General features: G+C 41.1%; 1 protein-coding gene and 1 long non-coding RNA gene across 6 annotated transcripts in view; both read right to left on the bottom strand.

Moving 5' to 3' along the window:
- Positions 1 to 25,933, bottom strand: part of PTPRG (protein tyrosine phosphatase receptor type G) — a 736,039-nt gene that overhangs the window by 661,694 nt on the left and 48,412 nt on the right. The window contains exon 1 of one of the 5 annotated variants that reach the window (XM_047448646.1): positions 18,130 to 18,686. The exons of the other annotated variants lie outside the window; for them this stretch is intronic. The gene's annotated coding sequence lies outside the window, so the exon portion shown is untranslated. Of the gene's footprint in view, positions 1 to 18,129; positions 18,687 to 25,933 lie in introns of those variants that run through there. 5 annotated transcript variants of the gene reach the window in all.
- Positions 1,083 to 18,686, bottom strand: LOC124909388 (uncharacterized). Its single transcript, XR_007095940.1, has 2 exons — positions 18,141 to 18,686; positions 1,083 to 13,453 (listed from the first exon to the last, which is right to left on the bottom strand). It is a non-coding gene; the product is annotated as an uncharacterized LOC124909388 (long non-coding RNA).

The following is a 25,933-nucleotide window of genomic DNA, read 5'->3' as shown; positions in this document are numbered from 1 at the left end:
TATCAAAAAGATGTGTTTCCATTTAGGGCTGAGAGCTCTAAGGAACCATCTCTGAGATACCAAAACTCTAATATTTTTCATGGATGACATTTACGTGACTGAGGAATTAGTAAATAAATTAGAAAATGTTCAAGAGTACAAAATGTGGAGATAGGCTACCTGGAATCAAATCCATAGGCCATCTAAGCCTTAGGGAAGCAATCAGCCTAAGACTCAAGCTTTCTGTTTTGTAAAAAGAAGTCAACAATAATAATAGTATTAATAATATAGGCTAAGTGCAGTGGCTCACATGTGTAATCCCAGCACTTTGGGAGGCCAAAGCTTGAGCTCAAGAGTTTGAAACCAGCCTAGGTAACATGGTGAAACCCCACCTCTACAAAAAAATACAAAAATTAGCCAGGCGTGGTGGTGCATGCCTATAGTCCCAGCTACTCAGAAAGCTGAGATAGGAGGATCACTTGAACCTGGGAGGCCAAGGTTGCAGTGAGCTGAGATCATGCCGCTGCACTCCAACCTGGGTGATAAGAGTGAGACTCTGTCTCTAATAATAATTATTATTTATATATATAATATATATATAAATTAATACTTTATAGGGTAATTGGTAAAAACTAAACAGCATAATGATAAGGCCTTTCTCATAGCATTTCATTGGAACAAGATTTTTAGCAACTCCATGACAGCTTGATTTTCGCCAACTCATTTTATTGGATTTTATTTTAACATTAAGAATAGAAGTCCCATGCAACCAAATCATGCCTGTAATATGGCTGTTTGACAGGCTCCATCAAGTAGAAGTTAAGTCTTTATTGCATGCTCAGGAAGTCCATATGTGAATTTAACAAGGTCTCAGCTTTCCTTCAAACCTTGTCTATTACAAATACAGACTTTAGATATATTCTCACTTTGAGATCACTTACACTGTCGACTATTTGCAGGGCAAACGAATGCAATCAAACACTGAAGTGTCAAGGAGATTAGAGAACTGCCAAGGTCTGAACTATATCAACAGCTTGAAATCAGCTCACTCAACAGTGTTGTGACAGTATTACACTGGCAAAACAAACACAGCATATCAGATATGGCATCACATTCCAGCAGTTTATTTCTCAGACTTATAGAGAAACATCCCATCATTACAGTTGTTCCCAGAGGATAAGCACAGGCATTCTTCTCGGTTAACTCTGTAACAAATGCTTAGTGACCTCACAGGAGAAGAGGGGAAACTTTCAAACCTCTGCTGAGTGGTGGTCAAGAAGTTCTGTCCTGCTACCTGCTTTAAAAAGAACTGTAGCCTAAAAGTTTAGGTTTCCACAGAAAAAGCATTTGATAAAATCCAACACAACTTCATGGTTTAAAAAAAAAACACACACACACAGCCGGGCACGGTGGCTCACGCGCCTGTAATCCCAACACTTTCGGAGGTCAAAGTGGCAGATCGTGAGGTCAGGAGTTCGAGACCAGCCTGGCCAACATACTGAAACCCCGTCTCTACTAAAAATACAAAAAAATTAGCCGGGCGTGGTGGTAGGCACCTGTATCCCAGCTACTTGGGAGGCTGAGGCAAGAAGAATCGCTTGAACCTGGGAGGCGGAGGCTGCAGTGAGCCGAGATCGCACCACTGCACTCCAGCCCAGATGACAGTAGGAGACTCTGTCTCAAAAAACAGGCAGTTTGGTGGCTCACACCTGTAATCCTGGCACTTTGGGTATTTTTGCTTCAGTAAGAAATTAATGTATATAGATCATATGGCACACAGATCTCTTGAGGCCAGGCGTTCAAGAACAGCCTGGCCAATATGGCGAAACCCCATCTCTACTAAAAATAAAAAAAATTAGCCAGACATGGTGGCACACTGCTGTAATCCCAGCTACTTGGGAGACTGAGGCATGAGAATCGCTTCAACCCAGGAGGTGGAGGTTGCAGTGAGCTGAGATCACACCACTGCACTCCAGCCTGGGTGACAGACTGAGACCCTTTCATAAAAAGAACAAAACAGCAACACCAAAAAAAAAAAACCACTCGACAAACTAGGAATAACAGAGAACTTCCTCAACCTGAAAAAGGGTATCTATTAGAAACTCACAGCTAACATCATACTCAATAGTAAAAGACTATATATTTTTCCTCCTAAGATAAGGTACAAGATAAAGATGTCTGATCTCACCACTTCTATTTTGGAGGCCACCTCACTTCTACACTGAGGTTCTAGCCAGAGCAATTAGGCAAGAAAAAGAAATAAAAGGCATCCAGATTGGAAAAGAATAAGTAAAACTATTTCTATTTGCAAATGACATAATCTTGTATACAGAAAATCTTAAGGAATCCACAAAAAATACTATCAGAGATCATAAACGAGTTCATCAAGGTTGAAGGATACAAGATAAATATACAAAAAATCAATCGTATTTTTATACATTAGCAATGAACAATCCAAAAATTAAATTAAAATGTTTCACATCATTTTGTCCCAAATACATTCCAAATTTCCAATCCATAAGCTGCATCTATAACTCATCCCAATGACTTTCATTTCTGGCTCTTGGAAAACCACTTGTAATTGTACCCTAAGCTACTACAGGTTCCTTTATTTGATTAACAAATGCTTACCAAGTGCTTCCTATATCTCAAGTGCTGGGGGAAACAGTAGTGAACAAAGAATCCCTGCCACTCCCATCATGAAACTCACACTCCAGTTGGGAATACAAGACAACATACAAATGAACAATAAGGACAACTTCTGATAGTGCTAAGTGCCATAACAAACATAAAACAGAGAAGAGAGATGCAGGCTCATGGGAGGATGGGATGTGCTTTAGATACAAAGATCAGGGAAGTCTCCCTAAGGAGGTGACATTCTAACAATGCGCCAAATCAAGAAGAAGGATGGTGGGGATGACTCTTTCTGTGTAACTGAACAGCATGTGTAAGAACCCTGGGGTGGAAAAAAGTTTCATAAATTCTGGAAACAGCCGGCATGCAAGGTAAGCAAGAAGGCTAGTCCTGGAAGAAAGACAGAAGCTGGATCATGTGGAATCTTGCAGAACATGGTCCAGAGTGAAAGCTTTATCCTACATGTAATGTGATGCCATGGGCAGGGAGGGGAGGGGGATGAAGGGGATGAAGGAAAGTGATGTAATGACTCTAGTTCTTTGTGAAATAATTGGTCAGAAATGCTCAACTTAAACACATGCTTACATCATCACTTGCTGGGTGGCCCTTGGTATGTTGCCCTACCTCTCTGGGTCATTATCTAAATTATCACAACTTCCTCCCAGGGTTTCCAAATAACTAGCAGATGATGTACTTGAAAGCTCTTTGCAAACTGACAATGGCTGCTGTGTCTATGGCCATGCCACCCTGAACGTGCCTGATCTCATCTGAAAATGGCTGCTGAACATATAGCAAAATTATCATCCTCCTCACTGAGGCCTTCCCTAATATCCTAGAACAGAAGTGATTTCTTTCTCTAGAAACAAAGAGCACTTTATCTGTCAACCTGCTTTCATACTCATCACTTCCTATCAATTATAAGCATTACACCTATGTGCCTTATAACTTCCTCTAGACTATAGATTTGTGTGTGTGTGTGTGTGTATGTGCGTGTGTAACAGGGTCTCACTCTGTCACCCAGACTGGAGTGCAATGGCACAATCACGGCTCACTGCAGCCTTGACCTCCCCAGGCTCAGGTGATCCTCCTGCCTCAGCCTGCAAAGTAGCTAGGACTACAGACACACGCCACCATACCCAGCTAATTTTTTTGGTATTTTTTGTACAGATGAGGTTTAGCCATGTTGCCAAGGCTGGTCTTGAACTCCTGGGTTCAAGCAATCTGCCCACCTCAGCCTCCCAAAGTGTTAGGATTATAGGTGTGAGCCACGGCACCCAGCTGACTATAGATTTTTGACCGAAATCTTACCTTTGCAGAATTGATCACTCCCTATATGTGGCTCCCACTGCCTCCAATCCAGGCTACAATCAGAGCATCTATATCATTTTACAGCAATTGATTATTTACATTTCCCTCTTTGTCACTGGATTATGAATTCCTTGAAGGGAGGTTCCACATCTTGTTTATATCTGTACCTCCAGTGCCTACATCACAAAAAAAATAAGGGGAAGCTTTTCATGTACTTGCAATTTCCCTTTTCTCTACTGATCCAGAAATACTCTCCCCAATGACTGAGTAGAATAAGCACTTTTATAGTATTTAAACTACTTTTGAAAACACAGAGCTTAAAAACTTTGGCAACATGGATTTTTATATAACAAACGCAATTTTTGGAAAATAATATAAAGCAGACCCACTCCTTATCTGAGGGGGATACATTCTGAGACCCCTAGTGGATGCCTGAAACCATGGATGGAGCTGAGCTCTATATACACTGTGGTTTTTCTATACAACTATATCCATGATAAAGTTTAATTTATAAATTAGGCACAGTAAGAGACTAACAATAACCACTAAGATAGAACAGGTATAGCAGCAAACAGTAATAAAAGTTATGTGAATATAGTTTTGGTCTCTCTCTCTCAAAATATACTATCATACTATATTCACCTATTTTCAGAATGCAGGCAACTGCAGATAACTGAAACCACAGAAAGCAAAACCGCAGATAAGGGTGGACTACTGTACTAAATTTAACAGATCAGGTAGAAATTGTCACACCTGGCAAAAGGTTGCTACCCATTTTTTTTTTCTTACCATACAATTTCAAGATAGTAGTAAAAAACTTTAATGGTCAGCTCTGCTTCCTCACTTCTGATAACAATTCCCTGCTTCCAATAGTCTGAAGATTTGAATTTTCATTTGTCTTTAAAAAAAAAAACTTTTTTTTTCTTTTTTCTTTTTTTTGAGACAGCGTCTCGCTCTGTCACCCAGGCTGGAGTGCAGTCGCACAATCTTGGCTCACTGTAACCTCCACCTCCCGGGTTCAAGCGATTTTTCTTCCTCACCCTCCCGAGTAGCTGGGACTACAGGCGCGTGCCACAACGCCTGGCTAATTTTTGTATTTTTAGTAGAGACACGATTTTACCATATTGGCCAGGCTGGTCTCGAACTCCTGACCTCATGATCTGCCCGCCTCTGCCTCCCAAAGTGCTGGGATTACAGGCATGAGCCACCGCGCCCCGCTAAAAATACATTTTTTAAGTAGTTGACAATCTACTTAAGTGCACACTTGCACTTTGGGGCAAGTGTGCGAATATTTCTTTCTACCCTTGTGGTCAAAGAGACTTGAGATGATAAATACTTTGAACCATGCTAAACCACAAACACATTGCAATGAATGTCAGCTCAACTGAAAAATTCCTAAAGTTGAGTCAATCCTTAAAAAGATCCCCTGAAGAGCTCTCCAAAGAAAAACAGAAACTGTTTTCTTTTCCCTGATCAGAGAGGAAGACAGGAGAAAACATCTTTTACTTGGGAAAAAAGTCATATTAATAGGAAAGCACACAATACTAAAGTATTAACCAGATATGTTACAGTTTAGTGCTTTAAACGCTAAGAAAACTTAAATGTTTTATTTCTATGTAACTTCCATATTCATACAGGATGGTGGAAAGCCAGAACAGTGGTATTTGTTAACATGCAAGTTAGCTCAAGTCAACTCCTTGAGAAGGAATTTCATGACAACACCTTTAACTAAATGAATACTTATCTCAAAATCTGCTCTATCTACAACTCCATAAAAAAGACCCAGAATATGGTCTAGGAGGCATTTACAGTTCTCACCCCATCATTTTATTTTGAACCAATAATATCATCTATTTAAAGCACACATCCAATCAACCAATTCCTAGCACCCTAAGGCCAAGAACCACCACTTATATGCATGTCTCAGTCATAAGGCCATGGCCAGGGTCTTTGGGCACATTACCAAAATTTGAGTAACTTCTCCAATTCCATGATTTATTGCCCATTACTTGAAAATGCTGCTCTCCATCCACCTTCTGTTGAACAAACATTTTAATATCGGACTTCATTTCTGGCATGGTAGCCCATCAGCTTGACAGAAGGGCCCTTGAAAGGCTAAGGAGCCTAAAGCTGAAGACATGTTACACTTAAACAATGCCAGTTAACACAGAGAGCCTCTAGGAGATCCACTGGAATCTATCTTTTATTATGACTTCAAAAATGCCATAGGCTTTCTAAAGAATCTACAGTAAACTTTTACCCTTTTTCTCCTTCTTACCTGAGACCGCAAAAGCAATATCAGTTACAAGGTTTAGGAAGAGAGTGCCTTCCTGTCAATGCCCACAGCTGGCAAGGAGCTTTCTTCACAAAGACCTCTCTCTACTACACCGTGGAGACTTTGTCAACTTTGATGTTAAAACAAAGCAGCAGCGCAGATGAACAGCTAGCAATTAATTTCACAGCAATTAAACCTAATAGTGTCTGTCCTTCCTAGGACCCTCTTTTACCCAGAAAACATTTGAGGTATAAATCTAACTCAGGGGCCGGGTACAGTGGCTTACACCTGTAATCTCGGCACTTTAGGAGACCAAGGCAGGCGGATCACAAGGTCAGGAGTTTCAAGACCAGCCTGGCCAACATGGTGAAACCTCATCTCTACTAAAAACCCAAAAATTAGCCGGTCATGGTGGTGGGTGCCTGTAATCCCAGCTACTCAGGAGGCTGAGGCAGGAGAATCACTTGAACCCAGGAGGCAGAGGCTGCAGTGAGCTGAAATTGCGCCATTGCACTCCAGCCTGGATGACAGAGCAAGACTCCATCTCAAAATAAAAAATAAATCTAACTTAGGACACCTGGAAGTTCATGCAGGTGCCCCGAGTGAACTGCTTGAAGGCACAAATGCCTCTATTTCCCAAGTGTCCCTCCTACTTCTCCCTAAACTTCCCAAATGAAATCAATAAAAAGCAACATCATGGTGAAAATGCATGGCAGACGTTTCACTGAAAAACAGCCCACATTACCTACCGTCTTGGAGAACATATGTGGTATGTTTGTTACAAGCACAGCTTTAAACAGACCTGGGTGTTTACCAACAAAGATGCTTATGAGTCGAGAGACTGTGATCAAGTTACTCAAGCTCAGTTTCCTTTCCTTCCTTGCAAAATAGGGGTGATTCTTATCTTGCAGGATTTGTGGATGAATAAATAAGCAGTATGGCACAGGGTCAGAGATGGATGAGTGGTAGCTGTTCACCTCCCCCTACCTTACCCCACCTCCAAACTGCTTCACCTTAACCACACCTTTTCCCCAAATCCAAATAATTTACCATCACCACCAACATTATATCATTAGAAGTTGACAGGGCTGGGTGCAGTGGCTCTTGCCTGTAATCCCAGCACTTTGGGAGGCCAAGGCAGACGGATCACCTGAGGTCAGAAGTTCAAGACCAGCCTGGCCAACATGGTAAAACCCTGTCTCTACAAAAAATACAACAATAACAACAACAACAAAAATTAGCTGGGTGTGGTGGTGCACACCTGTAGTCCCAGCTACTCGGGAGGCTGAGGCAGGAGAATCACTTGAACCAGGAGGCAGAGGCTGCAGTGAGCCAAGACCATGCCACTGCACTCCAGCCTGGGCAACAGAGTGAGACTCCATCTCAAAAAAAATAAATATATAAAAATGAAAAAATAGATAAGAAGTTGACAGGGCAATGTTGCTAGAAAAGAGAAAAATTACAAGCAAAGGGAAAGAGGGAAAACATTTATGTTCAAGTTAAACAAAAGAGCCACATATATCTAATTCTTATTTGTCTTATTCCCCAGTGCCTAGCACACAGCTAAATCCACAGTCGGCACTCCAACATATACTTAGAGCATGAAAGACGATGCAATATGGAAATAATGGCTTAATGTTGAGACTAGGGATATATCTGTCTGTCCATAAATCCTGGCTTATCTCAGTTATCTAAACTTAAGTTCTAAAGTATGACCCAAAAATGTTGGCACTCCTCCATGTCAGCCAGTGCTCTCTTCACTCAGGAATGTTTGACCAAAGGGCAGAAAGATTTTCCTTTGGCTTGGTTTACAATGAAGCTGCAAAACATTAAACCACACCTCATTTGACCTTAACAAACCTAGGACACAAGAGAATAGATTTATTCATTTCCCCCCAAGTTCTCTCACTACTTGATTCTTTCATATTTTAAACTTATTTTAATGACCTTCTACTGCATTCAGCAAATAAAGAATCCTCCCATTGATAATTAAACACCTGCTAATTCCTACAAAAGCATTCTAAAATTTAAAAAAGTGAACAGTCTGATGAATAAAACATTCCCTTTATTCCATGGGGCTGAGTTCAAATAAAGGAAAATGGGTCATTAAATAAAACCTGTCAGTTCTGTGAGACCTGGTTGTGCAGTTAGTGACCATATTTATACTTAGATTACTTTGAGGTAAAAAGGTTACATATTTAAATATTCATTACCCCACAAATACTTAAAAAAGAAGTAGGCCTGATAAAGCCAGCAGCCATCATAAAGAATAGAACACAGGTAAGTCATTATGTTTTAACTTTCTATTGTATTTCCAACATTCAGAGATAGAAGAGTCCCCACATAACCATTCCCTTACCCTCAACAATTATCGTATCAGGCAAATTTTATGTTTTTTTACCCCAAATCACACCTTACTCCAACCGAATTATCCTAAAGCAAGTTCCAGACATCATAATTTCCCTATAACTAATGCAGCATCTGTCACTAAAAGATACGGACTCTTTTAAAAAGTATAATTCCAACACTACTATTTTGCCTGTACTTAAAAGTGACAATAATTCCATAAATCAGGTAACATCCAGTACTCAAATTTCCCTACTTCAAAAAAAAAAATTTGCTTTTAACATTGATTTGTTCAAATTCAAAGTCCACACACTGCATTTGGGTGACAGGTCTCTCAAGTCTCTTTTAATCCAAAGGCTTTTCTCTGCCTCTTTAAGCCATTCCATACATAAATTGGATATAACAGGATCATTTGTAGTGTAGAATTCCCCTCATTGTGGGTTTTGCTGATTGCATCCAGGTGTCCCATTTTACATCAGGCTGTATCCCCAGCATTTGATCAGAAGCTTGATCTTGATTTGAGTTACTATTCCTTTTTCTAAGAATATATCCTAGGTGGCCATGTGGGCCATGAAAATGAAACTGGATGGCAAATGTAAAATACATTTAATAATCTGCCAACCAGCCTTCTCCCCCACCAGCCTTTACTCCTAACACTGCTGGGAAGTTGAGCACCTGCCCCACTTTGGCACCCAGCAGCAGGATGTGTGCAGCAATAGTGAAGAGCGACACTCTTACTTCCCTGGCTGGGACTATGACTCTGAGAAGGTTCACGATTTGGTGGATACAGACAGTGCTAACCGCAATGTCATCTTTCTGTCTCACATTCGAATATTCCAATTCCTTGGTGTACGTGGGTTTTGAACGGTAATACTAAGTGGAAAAGACAACATTCAAGTCACCTACCCATTCCACATTCTGCCAGTATGGAAAATGCAACCCCTTATGTTTTGCGTTAAAGAAAAAATGGAATTCAGGCTACCAAATCCCTTTTTTAATGGCATACCAGCAGGCAAATACAGATTTTCCAGCAATAAGCAATTTCTACTATCACTGCTAAGGGAGGGAAAAGAAACAAAAAGCAAAACACAGCCTTTCTTTTTTGCTGCTGTCAGGATGGACAATTAGAGACTAGAATAATGCATTTTTAGTTTTTAAAAAAGCTTTATCAGGAAAAAGCTGCCATAAAGTAATTCATCTACGAAGCAATAAGAGATGCCATCAATTTTACCTTACACTTGAATCACACTCTTGATTCCTATTCAGCTGTATTTCAATTATGCCTTTTATTTGAAGACAAGCCCCTACAAACACATAATGTCGCCTAAAAGTGATCTCTCCCGCCCCCCCAAAAAAAAAAAACAAACAAACCCTGTTGGGACAGGAAAGTTATTTATTTAATGCATAAATGACTCTGCTTTGCTCAGGAGGTAATGGTCTCAATGCTTGAAATATTTGCATAGAAAAGGAAAGCAGCTGTAGGAACACTGGGTTTCAAGTTTAAATGGAGTAAGTTCTGCAACAGTAAAATCTTCAACATTTTTAAATTTTTATACACGGAATATGATTTAAGCAAGTCCCACCTTACTGAGCTTATGTTGGAGGCTGAAATGCTTAAGAGTGTTCTTAGACACATTAAATATCCCCAGGCAGCCTGTCTTGGGCACTCTGTAGTAGATACTCCAGGGCACCAATGGCCAGTAAATTCATCGAGAGCAGCAAACATCCCATGACGTGTATGACTATGACCACATCAACACTACTCTAAAGAGTATGGAATAATAAACAGAAAACCCTTGTATTTCCAAGTCACGGGCTTGAAACACACCCAAGTGAATACTCAAATCGAAGAGCGTCCTAAGAGCCGATCATTACCACCCTAAAACTAACTGGAAATGTAAATGGCCCCATTACAAGCCCTTAGATTCCAGAAGCTGGGTTTAGTTGATGGGTTTAAAATGTAAGAGATGAAAGTTAAAAGTCATTTATACAACAGGACAATTTTGGTGGGAAGGGAAGCAATTTTTCATGAAGAAGTATTTGATTTTTTTTATAAAGAGTTTCTGTAATCAGAAAAAGGGTGAGAGACTAAAGTTTGACTGATAATGTTACGTATGTACTGTGATGGGTCGAATCATATCCCCCCTTAAAAAAGGTATGTTGAAGTCCTAAACCCCATCTAGTATCTCCGAATGTGACCTTACTTAGAGATAGGGTCCTTACAGAGGTAATCAAGTTAAAATGAGGTATTAGGTTGGACCCTAATCGAATATGGCTGATGTCCTTGAAAAGAGAGAAAATATGAACACAGAGATATGCGTAAAGGGAAGATGACACAAAGTGACACAGGCAGAAGACAGCCATCCACGAGCCAAAGAAAAGAAAGTTGGACAGATCCATCCCTTCCAGCTTCAGAAGGAATTAACCCTGCTGACACCTTGACCTCAGACTTCCAGCCTCCAGAACTGTGAGACAGTAAATGTCCGTTATCTGAGCCTCCCAGTTTGTGGTCCTTTGTTATGACAACCCTAGCAAATAAATACACATCCCTATATTTGATAATGGTAACAGTCATTTAAAAAGAAAAGTAGTAGCTGCCAGTCACAGTGGTAAGTACTGTGTATGCACTATCACTGAATCCTTAGAATGACCCTAGAAGGTGAGTACTATTATGCTCATTTTGCAGATGCAGAACCTGAGGTTAAGTATCAGGAACTGCATTCTGCTGCTGCTATCAGAGGCTTAAACATATAAGGGTTAATTTTCTTTCATATAACAAGAAGTCTGCAGGTATTAATAGAACTCAGCACCCCAAAGATAGCCATGTCTTTGCGATGCCCTTGGGCTTTCCCTCATGGTCCCAAAATGGATGCTGTGGCTCAAACCACCACATCTACATTTCGTATCTAAAATGCAAAATGTGAAAAATCAAAAAGAGCATACTTCTTCTCACCTTCCAGTGTTCCTGGAAGCCCAAAACAACTTCTAGTTGGAACTCACTGACCATCCCTACTGGCATGGGAAGTTGGGAAATGTAGTTTTTTAGTTGGGTTCATTGCCATGCCTAATAATACAAGGACTCAGAAGGAAGGAGGAGGGGGTAGATTTTCATTCAGCATATCTAGAGAGGCCCAGGGAAGTTAAAAGCTTGCTCCGGTTCGCAGCTATTAAGTGGTAGAGTCGGGATTTAAATTCACAGGATTATCTTAATCCCCAACCCATACTGGGACAGGGGACCACCATGACATACTGCACTCTCAGCAAACCCAAAACCTTTATCAAGGGGTGGGTCCCAAGTGTAAAGGAATTAGAGAGGGTTTTGATCTGCTCCTGAGTTCAGTGGCTGCTCTTTAGGGGTTTCAGGTAAACTGAGCACCTGAATGCAAGGAGGCAGTGAGGCTAACAGAACTTTGGATATGCCTTCAAACAACAGCATTTCCGAATAAACACCAGCGGCTGTATTTGGTGCTTGGCAGTAAAATTTAGAAATAGACTCATGCTGCCTGCTCCTGTCTCCTCAGATGTTTTGTTTCTTCAAGTGATAGTTATAATCCTCAAACAGGTGAAGCCTTTCACAGGTAGCCCTGTATGTGACTTCTACAAACAGCAACTGAAGGTTTTGTGTCTTCTTTAATTGCTCCTTTTCAATTATAGAAGGCCTATTTATAGACATCCCCTCCACAGCATTGTCAATATTTTATCTCTGCTAACTGAAAGAGATTTTCTTTCCCAATTTTAGATAATATCACTTAAGAACCAAATTCTCTAGTCTGTTGCAAAGCTAAAGAAAACCAGGTGTAACCCCAAGCTATACCTACCTCCTGAACAAGTCATTCATTCCCCAGGGCTTTGGTGAGAGTCGGGAGCCTCTTCCTGCTCCAATGTTTGAAAATCCACTCTATGATCAAAGCCCTGCACTGGATAACCTTAAAGAAAGCAAGGCCTAGTTGTAATTAACCTCAAGGTCCTTCCCCCCGATTTCTCTGTGTTCTAGTCCCCCAACTTTCCTCTGCCTTAACCATGCAGTTGTTCTGTCCTCCCTAGTCATGCAGATCAGAACCTCGCCCAAGGAGGGATCTGAGTCTTGGGAATGCCATGTCTAAAAACAAAACATGGTAGGGCCAATGTATTCCACCACCAACTTGCCATTAGCTCCCACTGTCCTGATTCCTGCCCCTTCCAAGGTTTGGTATCTTACGATTCTTAGACCCTGAGCAAAAAAATCTATCATACCCTTCCAAATCCAAGTGTTGGCTCATGTCAGTCATAATCCATTCTATTGTTTACAATCAAGGAAACCCTGTGATATCAGCTTGATGTGCCTGTGAGATATTTCCCTGATATTAAGATACACAGTGGAATACCAGTCTCTCCATCAGCTCCAGGGGGTGATGCCTGAAATTCTAGAACAGGAAAAATATGACATTATTACTTTTATTAAAAGCAGAAAAATAATACTGTCCCTTTTTTGTACTTAGGGTGCAAATGTACCTTCTTAAAGACAATTTGGGAAAAAAAGAAGTGACTATGGCACTTAATGTGATTCATTAAGAGGCAGTTACTAACTGGAAATAACCAAAATATATTTCCCTTCACCTTTGCTTAGTAATTTACACAATTTATACATCTTGTCTACTAAGGTAAGACTATTACTGAAGGCACAAAACCAGAAAACAGATTCCAAAAGACACGAAAAGTTTTACCTTGTTCAGTTATAAGGATTTGCAATTATTTGTATAATAAATCAGAGAAAAGCACTTTCCATTGCAAGAGGAAAGTAATTTACAAGATTTGTAAATCCTTGTTAATTAGTAAAATTAGATCTTTACCTGCAGTGTCTGAAATTCCGACAACATAATCTTTCAAATCAAAATGGGTGGCAGGTCCTAAAATACGTACTGCAATCTGTCACTTAAAAATAATAGCAAAAAAAAAAATTATCATCCAAAGTGACTGACAACGGAAAACTACAGAAATGTACCAACTTCTGTTAGGCACTAATTACAAATAGCAAACTCTCCTTCCTGAAATCCTTCCAGCTCCCCCTTCTTTACCTTGTGCAATTTCAAAGCAAGTCTTCTGATGCAACCAAAAGCTAAGGTTTGAAGAACTTAAACACAAAAATGTCTTTTTACCTGACAACTAAAAATTAGTTATTTGATTACCTGTTGAGCGAGGTGTTGGAGAGGGAGGCAAGAAAAGTCAACCACAAAATAAAGTGAAGACTTGGTTTCCTCCCTCTAGAAAGTTAACTTAGGCGGGAAAAGGAAAGTAAAAGAACACCTAAGTGAAAGATGTATGCCCCGCAAATACTGTACCATCTGTTATTTTGGTATCTAAGATGCTCTGAAGTTGAGTGATGACTTTCAAGAAATACTTTCAGGACTTCCAAGAAGGACAGGGACTGTGGAGATAATAATTACCCCAAAATTAAATGGGCATGTACACAATGCCAGACCATGTGCTGGCTATTTCCCGTGTTCTCTACTTAATTCTACAGAGAACCACATACATTAGCAACGATCTCCACTTCACAAATAAGAAAACAGAGAATCAGAGGAACTTACCAGCTTGCCCACCAATCACCTAACCAGCATAGTTTGGATGAAGGGACATATCTATTGATTCATTCATTCACTCATCCAAATACTATAATTATCCTAACTTCAAATCTCATACTCTTAGCCCACAAACTCCAACTGACCTGAGAGGATAAATATATTTGGAAAATACTGTGTCCCAATCTCCCCTGGCACGAATAAAGGAAGAACAGAAAGAGTGAAGGAGTTAAGGAAGACAGAGAGAGAAAGAGGGAGGAAGCGAAAAAAACAAAATTGCTGAGATGAATCAGAAAGTAAACTTCTAAAGCACAGTATCCAGGTAAAACATAAGAGGTGAGCTTTAGTTGACTTAAGCTATTTCATGCCTACACCCCACACCTGGGGAGAAGAACTGCTGCTGAAATGTTTAGTATTAATCCAATCCCATCTATAGCACATACCACGTAATCAGTAAAGTTTCAAGGTTAAGTCATTTATTTTAGCAAGATCCCTGCAGGATGGAAGGAAGGACGGCCCAACATTCTCCAGTGCCAGCCTCGTCACCTAAGGCAGGATTCCTGCTGGTCATTTCCAGCACTGAGTATCCAGGGGTGCATAAGACAATTCAAAGGGGATGTGGGAAACAATATTTAGCCTTCTATATCCAGAATAGTTTTGACCTCATGCTTTACATTTTTAAGGTTTTATAATTTTCATAGGATTTTAGTATAAGAACATAACAGATAAATAAATATACACACACACACACACACACACACACATATATATATATATATATACACACACACACTGGGGCATGGGTCCAAATTTTTTTTTGCTGATAAGGCAATGGGATCAGTGAAGACCACTGATCCACACTACGCTTATTAAAAGAGTAACTGTAAGGCCGGGCGCGGTGGCTCACGCCTGTAATCCCAGCATGTTGGGAGGCTGAGGTGGGAGGATCACCAGAGGTCAGGAGTTCCAGACCTGCCTGGCCAACATAGTGAAACCCTGTCTCTAGTAAAAACACAAAAACTAGCTGGGCATGGTGGCACACACTTGTAATCCTAGCTACTCGGGAGGCTGAGGCAGGAGAACTGCTTGAACCTGGGAGGCGGAGGTTGCAGTGAGCCAAAATCGCACTATTGCACTCCAGCCTGGGTGACAAGAGCGTTAACTCCATTTCAAAAAAGAAAAAAAAAAGTAACTGTTAACTTTAAGCATCTTCAACTGACAAACCAAATGACATTACTTTGGAACTGCTCCATTCACCGGACGAGGAACAAAAAAAACCCTCAAGTTTCATTTCAGTCTCTCCTTGAAAGGTATTTGATTCCTGGCGGATTCCAGGTGCAAATAATGGTTGACCATTACAAATCTGTGAGGCCACCTCATTATGAGTTCATATGGCAACCAAATCCCATTTTCCCTCTGCAAATTCAATCCGCATCAATAGCCCCATATATCACTGGCTACTGCTGTTGGCTGCCTGATTTTGAAACATAAAATTTTTTTTGAAAGATTACTGCCAACACGTAATAGGCAAACTGCAATTTCAATTCCCTACGCATGTGCTTGAAGTAGGGGGGACACACAAGCTACAAAATGTAAATGAACCCTGTTGTTATCAGCTGTTTAGAGGCCCCATGACATCTTCCTCCCTTATTCGTCCAGTCACGTAGGGCAGGGAAAAAAAAAATCAGAAGTGCCATCATTCAAGAAAGTCCTTTTATTATTCTACTCAATACTAGTTCCCTTGTCTCTTAATTTTCTGAACTGTGTATACAAAATGCAACAAAATGAAGCAGTAGTGGCTCTACACAGCCAATCTTCATTAGGCAGAGCTCAGCGTGAAGGAGTAACACAACTGTGTGATGTGTTTTATTAAGATGCTTTCATCAGCACCTGTTTAATAATCCATCACTTAGAAGAGTTAACATTTAAGAGGTGATGTTTACCCAAAAAAAGCTAGACTTCCTAGGGTTCAAAACAGTCCATTTCCCCAAAGCCCATAAACAAATCCACTACCAGGTCTGTTGTAAACTTCTGGCTCTGTCCACAATACCAGTTACCTGCTATGCCACTAATTCATAGCTCACCTTCCTTGTTGACTTCTTCCAGAAAACACCATTTTCTATTAATTCATGTTTCATACACCCACCAGTACTATAATGGGAAGATAAAATATAGGAAGCCCATGTTGAACCCAAGCCCATTTTTGCAGTGAGACAAAAAGAGGCACTAGAGGCTCATTGTTCAGTGTTGGGTTTCTCAAAGGCTGCATTGCTGACATTTTGGACTGGATAATTCTTTCCTGCGGTGGCTGTCCTGTGCACTACTGGATGCCCAGCAGCATGCCTGGCCTCTACCTACCAAATGCCAGTAGCACCATCCTCCCAGTCCTGACAGTCGAAAATGCTTCCAGACATTGCCAAATGTCCCCTTGGAAGAGAACAAAACTATTAACCCTCCCTCAGTTACAAACCACTGGTCTCGTGGGTGTACATACTCATCAATAGGCAGAAATTGTATGTATATAGAACTCCATACAGAAATTCATTAAAAGCCCAGACTGTCAAGCCCATCCTTTTTGGAGCACAGAACAAAGCCATGTTTGCCTACCAAACAGAAGAAGGCTCTGTATGCTAAGGTACCTTTTCTTTTTTTAATTTTTGAGACAGGGTCTTACTGTTTTGCCCAGGCTGGAATGCAGTGGCATGATCACGGTTCACTGTAGCCTTGATCTCCCAGGCTCAGGCAATCCTCCCACCTCAGCCTCCCGAGTAGCTGGGACCACAGATGCGCACCAACACACCAGGGTAGTTTTTAACTTTTTTTTTTTTTTTTTTTTTTTTGAGACAGGATCTCACTATGCTGCCCAGGCTGGTCTCGAACTCCTGGGCTTAAATGGTCCTCCTGCCTTGGGCTCCCAAAGTGCTGGGATTACAGGCGCGAGCCACCAAGCCCAGCCTAAGGTACTAATTATGATCACTAAAAGTGTGATGGTCAAAAGTACTCTTTATAATAACAATGAATACTGTCATTTTTTACTGTATTGACTCTCATCAACAGAAAGTCTCTGGAAAGTTCAGCTTTATGAGCCAAAATTTTTTATCTGATCAATTGTTTAAAAAGGCCTTAAGAAAAATTTCTTCAGAGCTAAACCCCTTTAACAGAAGATGGATATGCTGTGACATTTAGTTTCAAGGAAAGAAAGAGGTTACCGTTTTTTTCCCCTCGACATCCACTGCTAAACTTCTGCAAACCAATACTAAAAAAGACAATTTTTATTTAACAGTTAAAGAAACCAGCTTCCAAAAGCTCAATTGCCATCTGCAATTATAATCAGGCCCAATTTAGAATACCCCACCATGCTTTAGTCTTAATTAAAAATGGCACATCCTTGCAAGGGAATGCAATGTGAATTCACAATTCAAATGTGAGCAGGACACACACACAGGCACACACACCCCCCTCTCATGCTGGAGTCTAAGCTTGTGAGACTTAACTAATTTACCAGTTTCTTAATGGATATAACTTCAGTATAAACTTTATTTAATTTTTTATATTTTAAATTAGAAAGGCATGTGGATTATGTTAAGACAATTTGCCAGAAATACAAATGGATTTTTTTAAGCCTGCCATCTTTCACATAGCACATGGCTGATCCTGTATTCCAGCCACTATTATCTTTACTCTGCATAAAAAAGCACACGGCTTCAGTGTAATATTTCCACTGATGCAAGAATAGTTCTTCCACCACACTAAATACTAAGATTCTCCAAGTACCACCTGGCCGCTTTGTAAGCTTAATAATTAGTTATATAGTGTACCTGCACATTTATAATTCAGTGAAATTTTTAGATTTCAATTCCTTAAAATGGTCTGCAGCACTATCAGACGTTTTCCTACAGGACATTAATGCAGATACTATCTGAAAAATACGATACAAGCTCTTACTGTCAGTCAATGTCATTTGCCATTTAAAATATGACACAACAAAGAAGATATAGAAGGCAGGCCCTAAGAACAACACAGGCACACCTTTAACTCACAGAAGTAAAGAGACCGTTTTCGTATCTATCCACTGTGTGAGGACTCCTTGTAAAAATCCAACTTCTTCCAAAATTCTTCAGTGTTAGATTCAGGTTCCCTTGCTGGAGCCGAGCCTCTGGCAAGGAAGGCAAGAGGGAGGTTGAAAGCTGTAAACAATAAGCTTGCCTCCCCGGTAAGCCTGTAAAATTAAGCCTTTCTCAGTTGGACAATTGGTTTTATATAGCTAATCAGGAAGAAAGAAATGAAGGCCATCTGGTTCTTGGAAGTTCTGTATCTGATTAACACTATCTTCTTGAAAGTATACTTCCTACATACAAGGAGGCAAGAGAAAGCAAAAGGAAAGGAACACCCTTATAAATGGCCTGTACACCCTGAGCAACCCACATGCCGAACAAGTCCCTGACTATTTTATCCAGAAGCAGTAGAAGAGCCATTAAATACCGACACACCCTGGCTGGACAGACCTCATTTAGATTCTACCACTTATTAACAAGTTAGCCCTTGGCAAACAAGTTGACCTCTCTATAGTAGACTGGGTAATTGGCCCTGTCTGTATCCGGGTCCTTCTACAGGCAACTTTGCAGTTCCTCCCACACAGTGTAATTCCTGTCCCTTGACTTGGAGCTTGACCATGTGACTTGTTTCAGTTGGTAGCTTAACTTCAAGAGTGAAATCTTTTATAACATTGTCCCTCAAATACCAAGGGCAGGGATGCAGCTAGCCTCGGACACAAACCAGGATCAGGCACACAATCCTTTTACCAAAACTCCAGCAGTCCTCTTTTGCTATCTTCTCTGTCTACCTACTTTATGCCCCTCTTACTGAGTTTTCTGTTATCTTCCGGCATCGATGGTGGAAAGTCAACTACCAACAACACCCTTTCTGTTCCTAGGTTTAACAGAGCAGCACCCCTGCAGCAGCAGTGCCTCAGTCCCAAGATGGGTGCAGAGCTGGGGTGGGGCAGAGTCCTCAGGGTTGCCACATAAAGTTGCGTATTAACACAAAGGTGTCCGGTCAATTGAGAGAATGAAATCTAGCCAACACACCCTGCTTGCCAAGCCAAGTACTTTGCCATGGGGCTGCCCTCCACCAGGAGGAAGACATGCCTTATTCTGCAGAAGAGTACCGTCTGTCCAGAAGGGGTAACCAAGTGAGACGAGGAGGGTGTCTATATGGCAGGGAGAAGGGCTTGGCGTGGAGGTTGGTGTTTGAGGGAGTTGAGAAGTGTCTACACGGAAGAGTATTCCAACACACAGTGGGATGGACTGAGTAAATAAACATATTCAAAACAGTCGGAGCCCAGTTTCACCTTGTCACAGAAGGAGTCCCACAAATCCATGAAAGAGAAAACTAAAATAAAGCATGTGTTGTTGAACTTGTGAATGTTAACAGACATACAGATGTTAATGTGTGTATATGGACATGGACATACATACTTAACCCATAGATTTGTCCACTAAAAGGGCCTGGGGGCTGCAATATCCCAAGATATGCTCAGATGTTGGTTTCTAAATACCATTCTCAGCCGGGCATGGTGGCTCGCGCCTGTAATCCCAGCACTTTGGGAGGCCAAGGTGGGCAGATGACCTGAGGGCAGGAGTTCAAGACCAAGGTAGCCAACATGGTGAAACCCCCATCTCTACTAAAGATACAAAAATTAGCCTGGCATGGTGGCACATGACTATAATTCCAGCTACTTGGGAGGCTGAGGCGGGAGAATTGCTTGAACCCAGAAGGCGGAGGTTGCAGTGAGCCGAGATTGTGCCACTGCACTCCAGCCTGGGAACAGAGCGAGACTCCATCTCAAACAAACAAACAAACAAATAAGTAAATAAATACTAGTCTCCTCTAAAAGAAATCAGAGCTCTTTGGCTCCTCAGCTTCTTGGCCAAATCCAGAGCCAGGGCCGGCAGAGTACAAGATGAACCTGGAACTTCTTGTTCTAGACAGTAAGGAATTACTCAAATAATGATGGGGACATGTCAAAAGGACACAGGAACCAGCTGGCAAGAACTCCCACTATCTAAATGTGGAGAGATCTGAGCATCAAAATAATGATGGTAACAGACTATAACCCAAATAAAATAAAAATCCATCATCCAAACTGATGAGGATTTATGGATTAAGTCAAATAAAGAGTAAGTTGAAAGTTTATGGAAAGCAGTCTCAAAGTACCTGCTCAAAACACACTTATTACAAAGGGAAAAAGAAGAATAAGTTTAAGTGGGGAAGCCTGGCAGATGCTGCCTTATCAAGTGATCAAAGTTAACACCACCAGCAATGGGACAAATCAAATCACCTGATAGGATTGAAAGGCCCAGAGCACCACTCCGCTGGTGTTTCTGTCCCAACGCATAACCTGAACGTAATCACGAGGAAACCTCAGACAAACCAAAACTGAGTGACAGTCTAGCTAAACAACTGGTGTGTTACCTTCAAAAGTATCGAGGTCATAGAGGCCAAGGAAATTCCGAGAAACTGTTCCAGACCTGAAAGAGACTAACAACAGACACGTGATTCTAAATGGTTCCTTCTGTCATTGGGACAATTAGGGCATATTTGAATGAGTTCTGAGGATTAGACAGTAGTGTGGTATAAAGTTAATTTCACAATACTGATGGATGTATTGTGATACACGACTGTTCTTGTTTGTAGGAAATACACATTCAAGTGTCCAGAGGGGACAGGGTGCCAGGCTGGCAATGAATCCAAGTAGTTCAGCGAGGAAAAGTTCTTTTATGTTGTTACAATTTTTTCCATCTTTTTAAAACTATAACGGGTGGAGCGCATGGTGTGTTTGGAAGCGGTAGGTTCTTTCAGAAGCTGGGTGGGAAAGTCACTCTGAAAGAAGACACTAGAGCTGAGATGTACAAGAGAAGGAGCTGCCACATACAAATCCAAAGGGCAGACATAATAATGAGGATGCTAATTTTATAACAAAACTGTGCCACAATCTATACAGTGCTACTGAGCTCAAAGCAGTGGTCTAAAATTCCTTCTATATTTTAATTCATTCATTCCTCAACAAAAACCTAATTAGAATTATTAAGTATTATTAAAGTAGGCTGGGCACAGTGGCTCACGCCTGTAATCCCAGCACTTTGGGAGGCCAAAGCGGGTGGATTGCTTGAATCCAGGAGTTCAAGACCAGCCTGAGCAGCATGCTAAAACCCCATCTCATAAAATACACCAAAAAAATTAGCTGGGCGTGGTGGTGCACACCTGTGGTCCCAACTACTTGGGAAGCTGAGGTGGCAGGATCACTTGAGCCCCAGAAGCAGAGGTTGCAGTGAGCCGAGATCACGCCACTGCACTCCAGCCTGGGAAAGATCCTGTCTCAAAAAAAAAAAAAAAAAGGTATTATTAAAGTCAAATTATTATTATACCCAACTTAAAGATGAGGAAACTGGGACACAGAAAGGTTTTAGTAACTCACTCAAGGTCATAGGGTTGGTTAGTAGCACAGCCAGGATTGGAATCTACCAGTTTGACTCCAGAGACTATACTTAATTACTCTGCCATTGTGGCAACCCCAAGCAACTAACAGAAGGATGGGGAGGCACAATGGAGCCAGGCCTGCTGAACCATCCCAGCCATGAAGGCTGGAGCTAGTGAGTGAGTGAGTGAGGAACAACAGGCGAAGAGGTGAGAGGCGGAGGCAGGCCCATGGGTGAGAGTTTGGATTTTTTCATCTGTACTAGGAAGATGTTTCTAAAAGGAGGAAGATCACTTAGAGGGCTACCACCATATTTTAACCCAGGGAGGATGGTAGCTCACCAAGTCAATAGCAGTAAATTTAGAGAGCACTGCTCAGGGAGATTCAAGATTTATTTGGGAGGTGAAACCAACAGGATGTGAGGATCATTCTAGAAAGCCATGCCCTGAGATTACTCTAAATTCCTTGGATTAGTCTCCGCACACAGAGGTCACAGTATATTGCTCATGGTTTTGTGTTGTGGTCACCTCACAATTCTTTCAACAAAATACAAAAGCACAACTGTAATAAACCACCTCTACCCTCTTCTATTAGGAGGTCTTCAGTAACCTAATAATGGATCATGGTTTTTGAGACTACACCATCTTCAATTTATATAACCATTTCCCCCTTAACAAACAATGCCCAGTTCATTCTGATTTCATAGCTTGCCTTCATACAAAGAGAATCTCTCCCACACAGATTAATTTGTTTTCCCTGAATCTCATCAAAGATTGTACCTGGCACTGTAATTGGGTGGGTTTTAAATAGATAATTTAACCTTGAGAGAATGTTCATTTGACTCAACACATCCTTCCAATCTAAGAAACACACAAATTCCCTTTCACCCCTGCATGTCTTTCTTTAATTGTGACAGCAGTGCTGAGAAATTCATCTTCAAAGAGCTGATTGAGCCACAAGGGAATATTAATACCTAAATATTGAAGCAATCCTGATGCTTTGCTTAAAGGAACGCTGGCTTTGCTAGATGAAAAGCTTCCAAAATGTCTCTGGTCTATGCCTTTAAAAAAAACATGATTTTAGCATATTTTCATCTCTCTGCATTAAGTCAGAAAGTAAAAGGCACAGTTTATTCCTCTTAAAAATAGAAAAAGCCCTTTGCTTTCTATTGCCAGCAAATGCATTTGCTAGGATTCTACTAGGCTTTTGAGTGTCCTAGTCTAAAGGGTGTGATTTCCCTTGAATATGGAGAAATAAATGTTCTTTTGACTCTGACAGTCTAAGCGTAAGCCACTCTGCTGCGCTATTGGTGGCTTTATGGAAAGCATTTCTCGTCGAAGGTGAGCACAGACAGCAAGGAATGGAGGGAGAGATTGAGACAAGCTGACCTGTCCTTTGTCATCCTCTGGTTCACAACAAAGGCTGTTCTACCAAAAGATTACAAGTGCGCACACACACACACACACACACACACACACAAATTAATTCCAGGAACCAGAGAATTCAGAACGAGTAATAGGATCCCATTCCCCCGAAGCTGATATCATCAAATTCTCTCACATGATTTACAACCTGGCAATCTATCTCTTTCCATTGATTATCCTGCCATTATGGGACATAACTGCTCTCTGCCCATTCCAAGAACTCTAAAGTGTTGCACTGAGAATACACTAATGCACCTTTAATGTAGAGAAGACGGGGGAAAAAAACAGAGGAACAAAATAGGCTAGAGAATGCATAAAGGTGAAGATCCTTTCAAAAGCAGTGGAGAAGTTAACAGCTTCTCAGAGAGTCCATCAGGCAATTCGTGCCCAGCACCTACCTGGGCTCACAGTGTTGACATTTCTAACTGGAAACAGGCCACATGCAGTACTGCCGAGAACTACCTACAACTGAACTGGAGGCACATGTGCATCTCACTTTAGGCAAAGGTCATCCAAGAGAACAGTTGCTCAACTGGATGGAATTGTAGAGTCACGACAAAGGTTACAGAAAGATGCTTCGCATTCCAAGAAGCTCACCAGAGAACCTCTTTAAATGAGAGCCTTCTCAACTGCACAGATTGCAACAGGGCTTATCAAAAGCCTTACAGTGGCCAGGCGTGGTAGCTCACACCTGTAATCCCAGCACTTTGGGATTAGGCCAAGGCAGGTGGATCACCTGAGGTCAGGAGTTCAAGACCAGCCTGACCAACAAGGTGAAACCCTGTCTCTACCAAAAATACAAAAATTACCCAGTCATGGTGGCAGGCGCCTGTTGTCCCAGCCACTCGGGAGGCTGAGACAGGAGAATTCCTTGAACCCGGGAGGCGGAGGTTGCAGTGAGCCGAGATAGTGCCACTGCACTCCAGCCTGGGCAATGGAGCAGGACTCCATCTCAAAAATAAAACAAAAAACCCTTACAGCAGGGGTTAACAAACTCTGACCTGCTGCTTCCTTTTGAATAGTCCTCATGTAAAGAAGGATTTTTATATTTTTAAATAGTTTTTTAAAAGTCAAAAGAATATTTCCTGACACATGAAAAGGATATGAAATTCAACTTCAGAGTCTATAAATAAAGTTTTATTGGAACACTACCATACCCATTCATTGATGTACTGTCTGTGGCTACTTCTGCACTACAACGCAGTGAGTATGTCCAACTGAGGCATATGGCCTGCAAAGTTGAAAATGTCTATTGGGCTCTTTACAGAAAATGTTCGCCAACCCCTGCCTTAATTGACCCACAAATTTGGGGAAAGCAGCTCCAAATAAACTGAAGGCCCACTAGAAAAATGTACTTACTAATGCAAGAAAAATCGCTCTTTTCCTTCTAAACAGGCTCCCTTCTCCAAAAAGTCTACTAGAAAAATCAGTAAATGGCACAACATACATAAAGTCCCCAAAAAAGCATTCAAGTTTTTTTTACTTACCAGTCAAGATGGTAGTTAACATTGAGTGGGAAAAAAATGAAAATTAAAATGATGAGAAAGGCACTGTGCTTGTCACTTTGTGTACATCTTTCCATTTGATCCACACAGCAAGGTTCTGAGGGATGGTTATTCACCTTATTCCAGGTAAGGAGACTGAACCCACAAGAAGCTGAATAACATTCTGATAAAGTCACAGCGGTATATGATACCTTCAGAGCTCAAGCCCACGTTTTACTGGCTCTAAGTCTCATACTTTTAAACTATTACAGGATGATTAGGATCTCTGTTCAAAAACTTGCTTTTGCCGTTTAGAAAAAGAAAGAATACACCGGACTCGGTGGCTCATGCCTGTAATCCCAGCACTTTGGGAGGCCAAGACAGGAGGATCACTTGCGTTCAGGACCAGCCTGGCCAACATGGCAAAGCTCCATCTCTACTAAAAATAGTTTTAAAATGAGCTGGGTATGGTGGCACACACATGTAGTGACAGCTACTTGGGAGGCTGAGGCAGGAGAATCACTTGAACCCAGAAGGTAGACAGTGCAGTGAGCCAAGATAGTGCAATTGCACTCCAGCCTGGGCAACAGGAGAAGAAAGAAAGAAAAACAAAGAGAGAGATAGAGAAAGAGAGATGGAGAGAGAGAGGGAGGGAGGTAGGGAGGGAGGGAGGGAGGGAGGCAGGGAGGCAGGAAGGCAATGAGAGAATAAGTAATACTCAAGTGAGTGAAACGAAAATAACTACCTACCTGTGAAAGGAATGGTCACTTAACAGAGGAATATTTGTCTTATTAAATGCTGCATATGCATTAGTGTTGAGCTCTTAAGTAACATTCAGTTCCTGTTCTTACTATCACCCTAAGTACAGCCAAATCTATGTAGGCAAACATACGATATAATCTCTTTATCCATCTGCTACGAAGACTGCTGGCTATAGCCCAGCATCTTTGCCCCATGGAGGCTCCTTTTCCTAAGCTTACCTGCCTGGGCAATTTTTTTATATTCAGCAGTAAATCACTTGTAATCTAAGAGACAATGACAATACATCTACCAAATGATTTGGGTCTTGCAAAATCTCTTAGCAAAGACTGATGATAGAGCCAGTAGTAGTACTGCAGATTTTATTACTGTTATTTTTGACTATGCATAGAAGTGAACACACAGCACTTAGACTGCGCCAGGCACTATTCCAAGCACATTAAATGTATTAAATGCATTAAACTGTTAATCCTCACATCCCTACAAAGTTGTACTATAATTGCTCTCATTTTACAGATTAGGAAACTGAGGCACAACAAGATTAAGTGATTTACCACTAGGTAGCCATGCTGGGATTCAAACCCAGGCAGTGTGGTATCGGAGTTCATACTCCTTACATCACATGCCTCACTGCCTCTCCATACTAGATACAAATAAAAACATTTTAAAGTGTGAAAATAATTTGTATA

Source organism: Homo sapiens, chromosome 3 (assembly GCF_000001405.40).
Source record: "Homo sapiens chromosome 3, GRCh38.p14 Primary Assembly".
Lineage (NCBI taxonomy): Eukaryota > Metazoa > Chordata > Mammalia > Primates > Hominidae > Homo > Homo sapiens.
This window is presented reverse-complemented; position numbering and strand designations above follow the sequence as displayed.